The sequence below is a fragment of the Homo sapiens genome, chromosome 2, assembly GCF_000001405.40.
Source record: "Homo sapiens chromosome 2, GRCh38.p14 Primary Assembly".
In the NCBI taxonomy this organism is placed as follows: Eukaryota; Metazoa; Chordata; class Mammalia; order Primates; family Hominidae; genus Homo; species Homo sapiens.
In genome coordinates, this window is record NC_000002.12 from 10,789,417 (window position 1) to 10,801,718 (window position 12,302).

Consider the following 12,302-nt stretch of genomic DNA (forward strand, 5'->3'; position numbering starts at 1 on the left):
CAAAACAAAACAAAACTATACAAAGACACCAGAACGGTGCCTGTTACATGATTAGTACTTGATAAATGTTCTATTACTTTGAGAATGATAAGCAAGAGTGATTGAATACACTCTATCTTTAAGAAGCTCGTATTTCTGTTCAGTGTAATTATTCTAATGCTAAAAGTTATGAAAAGCAATTTATCAGACTTTTTTTCCATTTCAAAGTATAGAAACCACTTTAAAGAGAGTATCTTTAAGGGCATAAAATGAACAGTGTGTCACACTGCTTTAACATTCCTCACCATCAGCTAAAAAAGCTTTCTGGACTACAAGCAGTTGAAGTGGTTTACCTCAAGCAGCTCAGGAGGTGGGGCGTTATCAGAAAACAAATCAAGGGCCCGGGACACGATGTCGGATCTTGTCCGCCCACCGTCATAATCCACAGGAGACTCGCCTTTCTGAAATATCTTGATTGTAGGAAATCCTCTAATCTATTAAAAAAAGGTCAGAGGATAAAATCCAATTAACACTTAATGCAAAATAACACAATCTTTACAGTTTCTAAAACCACCTTATAGGTAATTTTTTTTTTTTTTTTTTGAAGCAGTCTCACTCTGTTGCCCAGGCTGGAGAGCACAGGTGCAATCTCAGCTCACTGCAACCTCTGCCTCCTGGGTTCAAGCAATTCTCCTACTTCAGCCTCCTGAGTAGCTGGGACTGCAGGCACACACCACCACACCCGGCTAATATTTGTATTTTTAATAGAGACGGGGTTTCACCATGTTGGCCAGGCTGGTTTTGAAATCCTGGCCTCAAGTGATCCTTGGCCTCCCAAAGTGTTGGGATTACAGGTGTGAGCCACCACTCTGGCCTTATAGGTAATTTAATGTAACAAAACTGTTCTCCAGACTGCACAGATTTCAAAGGAATGACTCACAGAGGTCAATTATCAATCAGGGAGTTTTAACAGTCTGTGAAGTTTAGCCAATCATATTCAAGCCCTGGTATATAATTAACACAAAGTACCTGCCCTAGAACAAATGGACCAACTCACAACAGCCATATGAGCAACTTGAATAAGTCTGGGCAAGCTGAAACCTCACATTAAGTATATACCAGAAGCAGTGTGACATTAGGGGGAAAAGTTGACAGTCCTGAGTTTCAGACTTGTTAGTTATGACAATAAAGTGACTTTATCTCTTCACTTACAAAATGGTTTAAACATCTCCTTTACTACCTCATAGGGAGGCCTGGAGTATTGGAAGAAGTAACGAAACACCATGTATTTCACAATGAAATGAGCCTTATAAGTATACTCACCCCGTATCGGGAGGCCAGAACCTGATTGACTGTAGCATCCACAGCTGCCAGTTTCACTTTTCCTTTCGTCTGCTCTTTTACTTCTGAAGCTGCGGCAGCCCACTCTGGCTCTAGGCTATAGAAAAATATTCGTTTTGTTTTGTTTCTTTGAGACACAGTCTCTCTCTGTTGCCCAGGCTGGAGTGCAGTGGTGCAATCATGGCTCCCTGCAGCCTCAATCTCCTGGGCTCAGGTGATCTCATTTCAGCCTCCAACATAGCTGGGACTACAGGTGTGTGCCACCACCCACTGTTAATTTCTACATTTTTAGTAGAGATAGGGTTTCCCCATGTTGCCCAGGCTGGTCTCAAACTCCTGGCCTCAAGTGATCCACCTCACCAGGCCAAATACTTGCATTTTAACTTGCAGCCCAAACACCTTTCTTTTCTTTTCTTTTTTTTTTTAAGACAGAGTCTCCTTCTATTATCCAGGATGGAGCGCAGTGGTGTGAGCTTGGCTCACTGTAGCCTCTGCCTCCCACAATCAAGAGATTCTTGCACCTCAACCTCCCAAGTAGCTGGGACTACAGGCACACGCCACCACACCCAGCCAATTTTTTTGTATTTTTAGTAGACATGGGGTTTTGCTATGTTGCCCAGGCTGGTCTCAAAGTCCTGACCTCAAGTGATCCGCCTGCCTCGGCCTCCCAAAGAGCTAGGATTACAGGTGTGAGCCACCATGCCTAGCCTATACTTTTTAACTGATCTGTGCATTTCTGCCCAATCCCCAATTATGTCACACCTAGAAAACATTTTGTGTGTGGCTTTACTAAAGATACAATGCTACCCTTCACATGAGCTTCCCATTCCACCACTGCCCCTAAATCCAGACATGAGCCAGTCCCTTGTTAATCTTTGGCAATAGGAGAGTGGAAGCTCTTGGCGCTAATGTCAATGTTTAATATTCACTTAGAGTCAGAGTTTTGCTGGAAGAGATCTTAGTGGTGATCTATTATCTACTTCAGCTCTTTCAAAATAAGCTAATGAATGTACTGAAAACACTGTGAATGAACAGACTACTTAGTAGAAGGCACTTACTTTTTGCAGTGTCCACACCAAGGAGCATAGAACTCAACCATCCAAACATCTTCACTGTCCAGAACATTCTTATCAAAGCTGTCGTCTGTCAGCTCAATCACATCCTTCTTACTTGAACTATCACTTCTGCCCTGTCATTTATGACATTAAACATCAAACAATTGGGCCAAGAAGAACACTTTTCCTGTTTTAAATAATAACACTACTGCTACATCTTAACAAAGTTTTAGGGTTTTTCTTTAGTGAATAAAATAGTGAAAACGGTTGTATTCAAATTGGGTACATTCCTCAGCACTGTAATTTTTGCTTGGCAAATAGTCTTTTACTTTCAAGTAATTATCAATACATTCAGTACAACACATAACCTGTACCTGAATGCTGTCACCAGCTATTTTTAGAGAGAAACCTCAACATGGCTCAAAAAACCACCTGAACAACACTGTTCTAATTCAGACTCAAGTACAGCTGCTGCTTCATCCTAGGATGTTATGTTACATCTTTCATAGACAAAGTCCCTACCAGTCAACAGAGCTAAAAATAACACTTAATCCTTTTCTTTTTTCGAAGAATGTTCTTCAGTACTAAATCTAAGAAGCAGTCAGCATTGCTTTCTGTTGCCAGGCAGGGTGCAGGGGGCCAGGCAACTATGCTCATTAAATGTCTAAGTTTAAAATAAAAGGCAAGAGCATGAAATCTCTGGGTAAGCTCTGAGCCTGTATAAAGAAGCTAGTGTAACTGGTCTCCTAAAAGTAAAAGCCCATTTAATATTGATAGATCTTCAAGTTTGTCTTTTCACAAGAACATCAGTGTAAGCTTCACATTTCACATAAGGGCATCTAAAACACCAATCTGCTCCTCTCTCTCTCTCTTCTTCCCTATCCATTTGTGTAGAATTTTCCATGGATTTGGGGCTGACTGCCACAGATACAGGCCAAGAGGTAATCCAATCTCATCACGGTTTGCCAAAGCCTACCTAGAGGAAAACCCGTCCATCCCATCCCCACTCTGGACCTACAAGTGCCATGGGATGCCAGCACGTGGCTCCTGGGCCTGGTACTTGGACTGCAGGTGTGGCAAGAGGCCCTGGGACTGACTGGCTTTGGCAACAGCAATTCTGAGGAGGCCAAATGAGCAGGCTGGAGGGCTGGTTCCCTCTGGGATCGGTGGATCCAATCCTCTATTATTCTTTAATTGAGAGTTCACCACTTTAACATACTGTTAAAAAACAACTATCTTATACAAGGTATCCACTCTGGCTTCAAAATTATGACACATTAAAAACTGACATTTTATGGTCTTACTTGTTTTCCAGAACTGTATCCTCCGCTCCGTCCCCCGAGGCGATCCTTCACGAGCTGGCGCAGAGCACTCAGCGCAGCATCTACAATGGCTTCACCAGTTCTGCCACCTACAGGAGACGGAAGGTAGGCGGTCCTCAGCCCGGCCTTCAGCAAGTGCCTCATCTGGCCCGGCCCAAGACTGTGTCTTTACCTCACTGTCGGCTTCACCAGGTGTGACACAGTTCTGACACGTGTATCTCTGACAGAACACACTTTCTCCCCACAATGCATTTTGCACTAAACTTAACACTTGGAAAACCAATTCCTTTTCCTTTTTTATTTATTATTATTATTTTTTGAGATGGAGTCTCACCCTGTTGCCCAGGCTGGAGTACAGTGGCACCATCTCAGGTCACTGCAACCTCCGCCTCCCGGGTTCGAGTGATTTCTGGCTAATTTTTGTATTTTTAGTAGAGACAGGATTTCACCATGTCGGCCAGGCTGGTCACAAACTCCTGACCTCAAGTGATCCGCCCACCTCAGCCTCTCAAAGTGCTGGGATCACAAGTGTGAGCCACCGTGTCCAGCCCGATTTCTCTTCTTAAGTTTTACGTAGTGTGAACGAAAACTCCCTGCTCAAACACCATCTCCTAATGAGAATAACTCACAAATGTTTACCGAACATGAACATGGATGAATAAGAAGCTTAATATCTAGCTGAGAAAGCAGGGGAATTTCCCAAATAAAAAAGGAACAATTTCTGTGAGATACCAGATAGAAAAGATGGAAAAAGTAGGTATGAGGTGTCTTTAAAGCCAAGTAACTGGAAACCATTCCAGGCTTCTTTTTTTCTATCTTGCTTGAAACAGTTAAGCTGAACTTAATCCTAATATAAGTAACAAATCTGCATTAAAACTCAAAGAGGCAAGATGATAATAGTCTTTGGAAGTTCACCAAAAACTTATTTGCTCAAGACAGTCAGGGGCTATTAACTAACACAGAAGTACTGGAATAACATATGCCATCTGCTTTCTTCAGTTTAAAGGCAAAACTAGATCTAATAGAATCTCTTTAGAAAGTTCATTTTCTGGCCAGCTGTGGTGGCTCACGCCTGGGATCTCAGCACTTTGGGAGGCAGAGGCACGTGGAACACCTGAGGTCAGGAGTTCAAGACCATCCTGCCCAACATGGTGAAACCCTGTCTCTACTAAAAACACAAAAATTAGCTGGGCGTGGTGGTGGACATCTATAATCCCAGCTACTCAGGAGGCTGAGGCAGGAGAATCACCTGAACCCAGGAGACGGAGGCTGCAGTGAGCTGACATCGCGCCACTGCACTCCAGCCTGGGTGACAGAACGAGACTCTGTGTCAAGAAAAAAAAAAAAAATCTTTCTTTTTTTTTTTTTTTTTTTTTAGAGTTTTCTCAAACTCCTGTACTCAAGTGATCCTCCCACCTCAGCCTCCCAAAGTGCTGGGATTAGAGATCTAAGGTGTGGCAGCCGGCCTTTTTTTCTGCCCAGGAAGAGAAACTTTTGAGAACACACCAGACCTGACACAAGAAACAAAATATAGGCCGGGTGCGGTGGCTCACGCCTGTAATCCCAGCACTTTGGGAGGCCGAGGCAGGCGGATCATGAGGTCAAGAGTTCGAGAGCAGCCTGACCAACATGGTGAAACCCCATCTCTACTAAAAATACAACAATTAGCCGGGTGTAGTGGTGCATGTCTGTAATCCCAGCTACTCAGGAGGCTGAGGCAGGAGAATTGCTTGAACCCAGGAGGCGGAGGTTGCAGTGAGCCGAGATAGCACCACTGCACTCCAGCCTGGGCAACAGAGTGAGACTCCATCTCGAACAAAACAAAACAAAAATACCCACAAAATATATTACAGCAACTCTCAGCATCTATTCAGATAATCTTGCACTGTATCGCTGGCTGAGCCTACCAAGTATGTCACTTGATAACACAGAAGGGCAAGGCCTCAACATGAAACAGCCTCTGCTCCTTATCTATGTCAGGTATTTCCGTCATCTGAACCACTGCCCCTTCCCCGAGTCTTTATCTGGACATATGCCAAATCATGAAGTATACTAGGAAAAAAACTTTTCAGCGTTTTGGGCCATACTGTCTATTGCAACTACTCAATTCTGTTGTTCCAGTGCAAAAGGAGCCAGAGACAATATGTTGACAAACAGGCAGGGCTGTGTTCCAATAAACTAAATTTATAAAAACAGCAGCAGACTGACTGCACTAAAAACATGTGCATTTTCATAAGTGAGGAAAACTAAAACAAATTATTATTCAAAGGCAGAAAAGCAGGTGTTTACTCAGGGGAAAAAAAAGTCTCTCCCTAGAACTTTGGAGCTGGGGAGCCTAGCAGAGACAACGTGTCCAAGGCCACATCTTCATCTTCAGACGAAGACGAAGACGAAGATGAGCCCTCCAGCCTCGAGATTTGCCAACGACACATATTTGCCAAGTATTTGTCTCATATGCTTTATGTGTACTATTTCAATTAAGCTTCTGGTACCTTAAAATAGGTTTGCACATCCCCATTATACAGAGAAGCAAGACACTAAGTACTGTTTAGTTACGACGCTGGAGTATGGAGAGGCTAGCAGCCAGGCAGCCAGGATGGGCTGCCTTCCCAGCTCACACACGACAGATTCTGTACCCCTCACCCCTACCTTCCCTGCCTTCTATTAGCTGGACTCAGGCAAGTCACCGATGACAGACAACTCTTTTACTACGATGTTGATGCTGCCACCCAACCCATGAGCTGATACTGCTCACATAAAGCAAAACCTAAGATGACAAAGTTCAGTCACTCATATGTTCCATATAAATCTTCAACAAAAACCTTTACCAAATTAGTCATAATTTCAGCTTCAAACAAATTATGCCCAATACTTTTACTAGCACTATGGATCTGGCCCAACCCAGCAACTCTGATTATCTTAAATAGAATAATCTGTTTGTGATATCTTTTTTTTTTTTTTTTTTTGAGACGGAGTCTCGCTCTGTCGCCTAGGCTGGAGTACAATCTCGGCTCACTGCAAGCTCCGCCTTCCGGGTTCACGCCATTCTCCTGCCTCAGCCTCCAGAGTAGCTGGGACTACAGTCACCCACCACCGTGCCCGGCTAATTTTTTGTATTTTTAGTAGAGACAGGGTTTCACCGTGTTAGCCAGGATGGTCTCGATCTCCTGACCTCGTGATCCGCCCGTCTTGGCCTCCCAAAGTGCTGGGATTACAGGCATGAGCCATCATGCCCAGCCCGTTTGTGATATCTTAATTAAATAACAAGACAATTCTCTAAGAGTGTGGTGCCTGTAATCCCAGCTACTTGGGAGGCTGAAGTAGGAGGACTGCCTGAGCCTAGGAATTTGAGTCCAGGCTGGGCAACACAGCAAGACTCTGTCTCTTAAAAAAAAAAAAAAAAGAAAAGAAAAAAAGAATAGTGTGGCTGAAATAACATTTAGTCTTGGGAGGGTGAAACCTGAATTCTTTCTTTAGTTGCCTCAGTGGCTCACAGCAGACACTAACAATTTACTTATCTACAAAACAGAATTTGTGGTATCCATTTATTATTGACAGTTTAGGAGACTAAGACTCTCAAATTACAGTCTCCTTTTCCATAGTGTTATGTTAGACCCTTTTCCTACAGTAAAGGGAAGAGAGATTAGAGCAAGAAAATACATGTAGATCTTTATTAAATACAAGTGACTGTAATGAGAAAGACAACAGGGTAGCACAGAACACTATTTTCTATCATTGCCAATGTAGCATAGACCTAAGCAAGCGTTAAGTGATGAGACAAACCTGTGTGACACATATTTCATCTTCAGAATGACTCGGAGGGTATAGGAATCACTGTGTACCATTTATAGATAATTCAGGTACAATGAGGTTGAGAACCTTGCAGGTAGAGCAGGTTCTCAAGCTTGTTAAAGAACAGTAGGTTCTTGTCTACCAGGGGAATGAAGTAGCTAGGAAAAGTCCTTACCTTGGTAATCTTCTGGTCTGTTTTTGTTGGATCCAAAAATCTTAATGGTAGGAAATCCCTGAACACCATACTGACCTCCTAGGGAATGATGCTTATCTGCATCAACTGCACCAACTTTGACAACATCCTGTGGAAATGTAAAAGAAATAACAATTTTTCCTTCCGCTAAAGCAGACTCCACAAGAACTCATTATCTGCTTCACATAGACTCAGAAAAAGGTAATAAAGCACAGGGTGCAGTTTGCAATCAGTCAATAAGGGCTTTAGCCTTGAACACCAGAAGAGAATCTAAATGGAATGATGGGGGAAATCAAAGCCCATGGAGGGAACTCTGCAGCTCACAGAATTGGCAGGGCTGAGAGTAACTGTCATTTATCTGGGAAAAACAATAAACAAAAACAGGCAATGTAAACATTTAAATGTGTATTATCCCCTTGTTCTCAGTATGATTTTGACAACAGAACCAGTATTTTCAACTCTGATATGCAAACTAGCTTCCCATTGAACATTAAACCATCTGCATACTTATTACTTAAACATACACAGGTGAATATGGACATCTTAGAAACTTACTGTAAAAAAAAGTTTTGTAAGCCTTTTGCATTCCTAAGAAACTTACTTTTAATGCAGTTGCTGCTTTCTTCCATTCTGGTGTTAATCTTTGACAGTGACCACACCTTTTGGGGGAAGACAACACAAAGCAACCATTAAAGCCTTTGATTCTCAATTCAAAAAATTCAAAAATTCAATTAAAAAACCCCATCAATGGTCTATTGAATGAGATGCCTGCAAAGAGGACAAGCACAAATAAAACAGGATCAAGGCCGGGCACGGTGTCTCACGCCTGTAATCTCCAGTACTTTGGGAGGCCGAGGAGGGAGGATCACTTGAGGTCAGGAGTTTGAGACCAGCCTGGCTAACATGGTGAAACCCCGTCTCTAATAAAAATACAAAAATTAGCCAGGCGTGGTGGTGCACGCTTGTAATCCTAGCTACTGGGGAGGCTGAGGCACAAGAATCACGTGAACCCAGGAGGCAGAGGTTGCAAGAGCTGAGATCATGCCGCTACACTCCAGCCTGGGCAACAGAGTGAGATTCTGTCTCAAAAAATAAAAATAAAAATAAATAAGTAAAATAGGATCAGCAACCTGGATGAACTCACCATTTTATTACTTACAACAATCACTTTTCATATCATCCTAATAAAAAAGCTTCCAGCCAGGTGCAGTGGCTCACGCCTGACTTTGGGAGGCCAAGGCAGGCAGATCACTTGAACTCAGGAGTTAAGACCAGCCTGGCCAACATGGTGACACCCTGTCTCTACTAAAAATACAAAAATTAGCTGGGCATGGTGGCACACACCTGTAATCTTAGCTATTGGGGAGGCTGAGGGAGGGGAATCGCTTGAACTCGGGAAACGGAGGTTGCAGTGAGCTGAGATCGTGCCACTGCACTCCAGCCCGGGCAACACAGCAAGACTCTGTCCCCCACCCAAAAAAAAAAAAAAAAGCTTCCGAATTACTGCTCAATTAAATCACATTTAAACTCTATAATTTACAACTCTACACCCTCAACAAGCCCTTTAGAATCTATCTGGTCCAATGTGCTTCACTGTGTGGAGCTGAAAGCCTAGGCACGATGCAGATTCTTGGGGTCCACAAACCCAAACTTCCTAGTGGAAGAAGTGCATTTTATTAAGTTCTGCTAGTGATTCTTAAACCTACTGGGGTTTGATAGTCTCTAGTCCAACTTTTTAATTTTATATATGAAGTATCTGGCCCAGATCAACTATGCCTATATCTCAATACTTTCTGGGTCCCGCAAATTGCTTCTGGACTTAGAAACACATGCATAAACCCACGTTAGTGAGCCTAACAAGCCGAAAAGCATGACGTGACACCACAAGATGGCGATGTGAGTGAATGACTGAGGTGGGGGGAGGCAGGGAAAGCGGAAGAGAGTGGGGAGAGGAGGAGAGAAGAGAACACAAGGAAAAACAACCTTAACCTTGCAGGTACTATTATTGGGAAATACAACACAGAAAAGCGCTTTTAAAAAATTACATGTGCGTAAACCTATTAGCCCTTACCACTCATTGAGGTTGTAGGTAGCTATACTGTTTATTTTTATTGCTGTGTAACATTCACTGTATGCAGACACCATAGTTTATCCATTGGTGATTTAATGCATTTTTAAAAACAAAGTAAATTCTCTTCTAATTAGGTCTCTAAGAACCAAATGCACAAATGCTAGGTGCCAGCACCATGATGAAAACACTTATAGATGACTTCATTTAATCAGCATGAAGCTGAGGGCAGGTCCTCTTGTTATTTCATTTTACAGATGATGGAATTGATGTTGAGAAGAAATTTACCCAATATCACAGCCATCCAGTGTCAGAGCTGCCTGACAAGTTTTTGATTCCAAACACTACAATCATACAGGTAGAAGTCGTAATTATTATGTAACTGAGTATTGGGGCCTAAACTCAATCCCAGTATCTGAAGTTAGGGTCTATCGGGGGAATGTCCTGAAATGCTACTTCTACATATTTACATACAGTATGTTTTGTTGTTTAGGTGAGATACTAAAAAATTCAGAAGTCAGATTTTTACAGGGTTTTGTGCCTCTTTAATTTCAGTTTAAGAAAGGAGGACTAAATTCAGAGACTGTCAGAGTTCATCCTCTCTTCTATTTGATCTGCACATACATCATAATGCCACATACATATAAATATGGCATACAGTCTACCCAGGGGTTCTGCAACTGGGGTCCAGACTCCCAAAGGGCTGGTGGATAAAAATTTTGGGAATCCCTTTTAGGAAAAAAAAGAAAAAAAAAAAAAAAGAATAAATCTGAAGCCAAGGTGGCCTTTTAGGAAAAATTTAGGGGAGGGAGTCTATGAATTTGGATGAAAAAAAAGTCTTTATTTTCACTAATCTGTAATCGAAATTTAGAATTTCCTTACGAATGTAAACAACACTCCACAGTCAATTATTGTGACTTTATCATGAATGAAAATCACAGCTGTTTTCATGATCGCCACTATAGTTGCTGCAGGTATCTTCAAACATCATTTATGCCCATCACTATTCAGAATTATTGCAGCTGTCAAGCCTGCTGCTGGATCTTGGTACCGGTTTAGCATCTCTATTCTAAAAACCCACAACCTGAAATGTTCCAAAATCCAAAACTTTCTGAGCGACAACATGACACTCACAGGAAACAGTCACTGGAGCATTTCAGATTTTGTATTCTCAGATTACGGATGCTCTACAGCTAAGTATTATGCAAATCTTCCAAAATCTGACAAAATCCAAAATCAGAAACACTTCTGGTCCCAAGCATTTCAGATAAGAGATGTTCAACCTGTACTTACTGTTCTTGTAAAGTACTACATTAACATCAAAATTTTAATATTTCAATAATCATATTTCCATACTTTAGGTTTTTTTTTGCGATTCTATAAGCTTTATTTAAACGTGAAGGTTTGATTTTGATTTTTTTTTTTAAAGGAGATCTTTTTTTTTTTCTTTTTTTGAGACAGGCTCTCACTGTTGCCCAGGCTGGAGTGCAGTGGCACAATCACAGCTCACTGCAGCTTCTACCTCACAGGCTCAGGTGATCTTCCCACCTCAGCCTCCTGAGTAGCTGGGACCACAAGTACACGGCACCACGTCTGGGTAATTTGTTTCTTTTCTTTTTATTTTCGTAGCGATAGGGTCTTGCCACATTGCCCAAGCTGGCCTCGAACTCTGGTGCTCAAGCAATTTACCCACCGTGGTCTCCCAAATTGCTGAAATTATAATCGTGAGCCATCATGCCTGACCGTAAAAGTTTTATTATAAGAATCCAAGGCCTTCACCAAGATGCTAAAGGAATCCAAGCACAAAAGGAAGTTAAAAAGCACCTGCCTGACCCAGTGCAGTGGCTCACAGCTGTAATCCCAGCACTTTGCGAGGCCGAGACAGGCGAATTGCTTGAGCCCTGGAGTTAGAGACCAGCTTGGACAACATGGTGAAATTCCGTCTCTATAAAAAATACAAAAATTAGCAGGGCGTGGTGGTACATGCCTGTAGTACCAGTGCTGGGGAGGCTGAGGTGGGAGGATTACCTGAGCCTGAGAAATCAAGGCTGTAGTGAGCCGTGATCATGCTGCTGCACTCTAGCCTGGGAGAAAGTGAGACCCTGTCTCTCAAAAAAAGCGCTTGCTCTAATCAGACATTCAGTCACCCAAACACCACAAAGTAAAACTCTGCCAGTGTAATAATGATTAACTAGTGGATCTAGATCCTGCCTTCTCAATTATGCTGTCTTGCAGAGTTTTCTCTTGTATGGTCGCTCTCAGAAACAAGGTAAATTACCTATGCCATATATGATAAGCTTGTAAAAACCACATACAGAGACGTTTAACAATACAACAGTTTGTACAATTACTATTTATGTATTTGCTAGTATAATTGAGCTAATCCACACAGAATTAGCATTTGGACTGAACACATATATACCAGAGCCTTTAAAACAGTAAAGGCATTAGATGGACAGGACGCACAATGTGGCAACATCCACTTTGAAAATAGAGCGTTTTTACCTCCATTTGCTACACTGAGCATGAAGTAAAATGGTCCATGAGGACTG

General features: G+C 42.2%; 1 protein-coding gene across 6 annotated transcripts in view; it reads right to left on the minus strand.

The window, feature by feature from the left end:
- The window catches only part of PDIA6 (protein disulfide isomerase family A member 6), a 54,322-nt gene that overhangs the window by 6,026 nt on the left and 35,994 nt on the right, over window positions 1-12,302 (minus strand). For all 6 annotated transcript variants that reach the window (NM_001282705.2, NM_001282706.2, NM_001282704.2 and 3 more), the window contains 6 exons: window positions 8,284-8,341; window positions 7,665-7,791; window positions 3,680-3,786; window positions 2,379-2,509; window positions 1,303-1,417; window positions 333-473 (listed from right to left, as the gene is read on the minus strand). In NM_001282705.2, coding sequence (NP_001269634.1) covers window positions 333-473; window positions 1,303-1,417; window positions 2,379-2,509; window positions 3,680-3,786; window positions 7,665-7,791; window positions 8,284-8,341 — 679 coding nt within the window. The remainder of the gene's footprint in view (window positions 1-332; window positions 474-1,302; window positions 1,418-2,378; window positions 2,510-3,679; window positions 3,787-7,664; window positions 7,792-8,283; window positions 8,342-12,302) is intronic.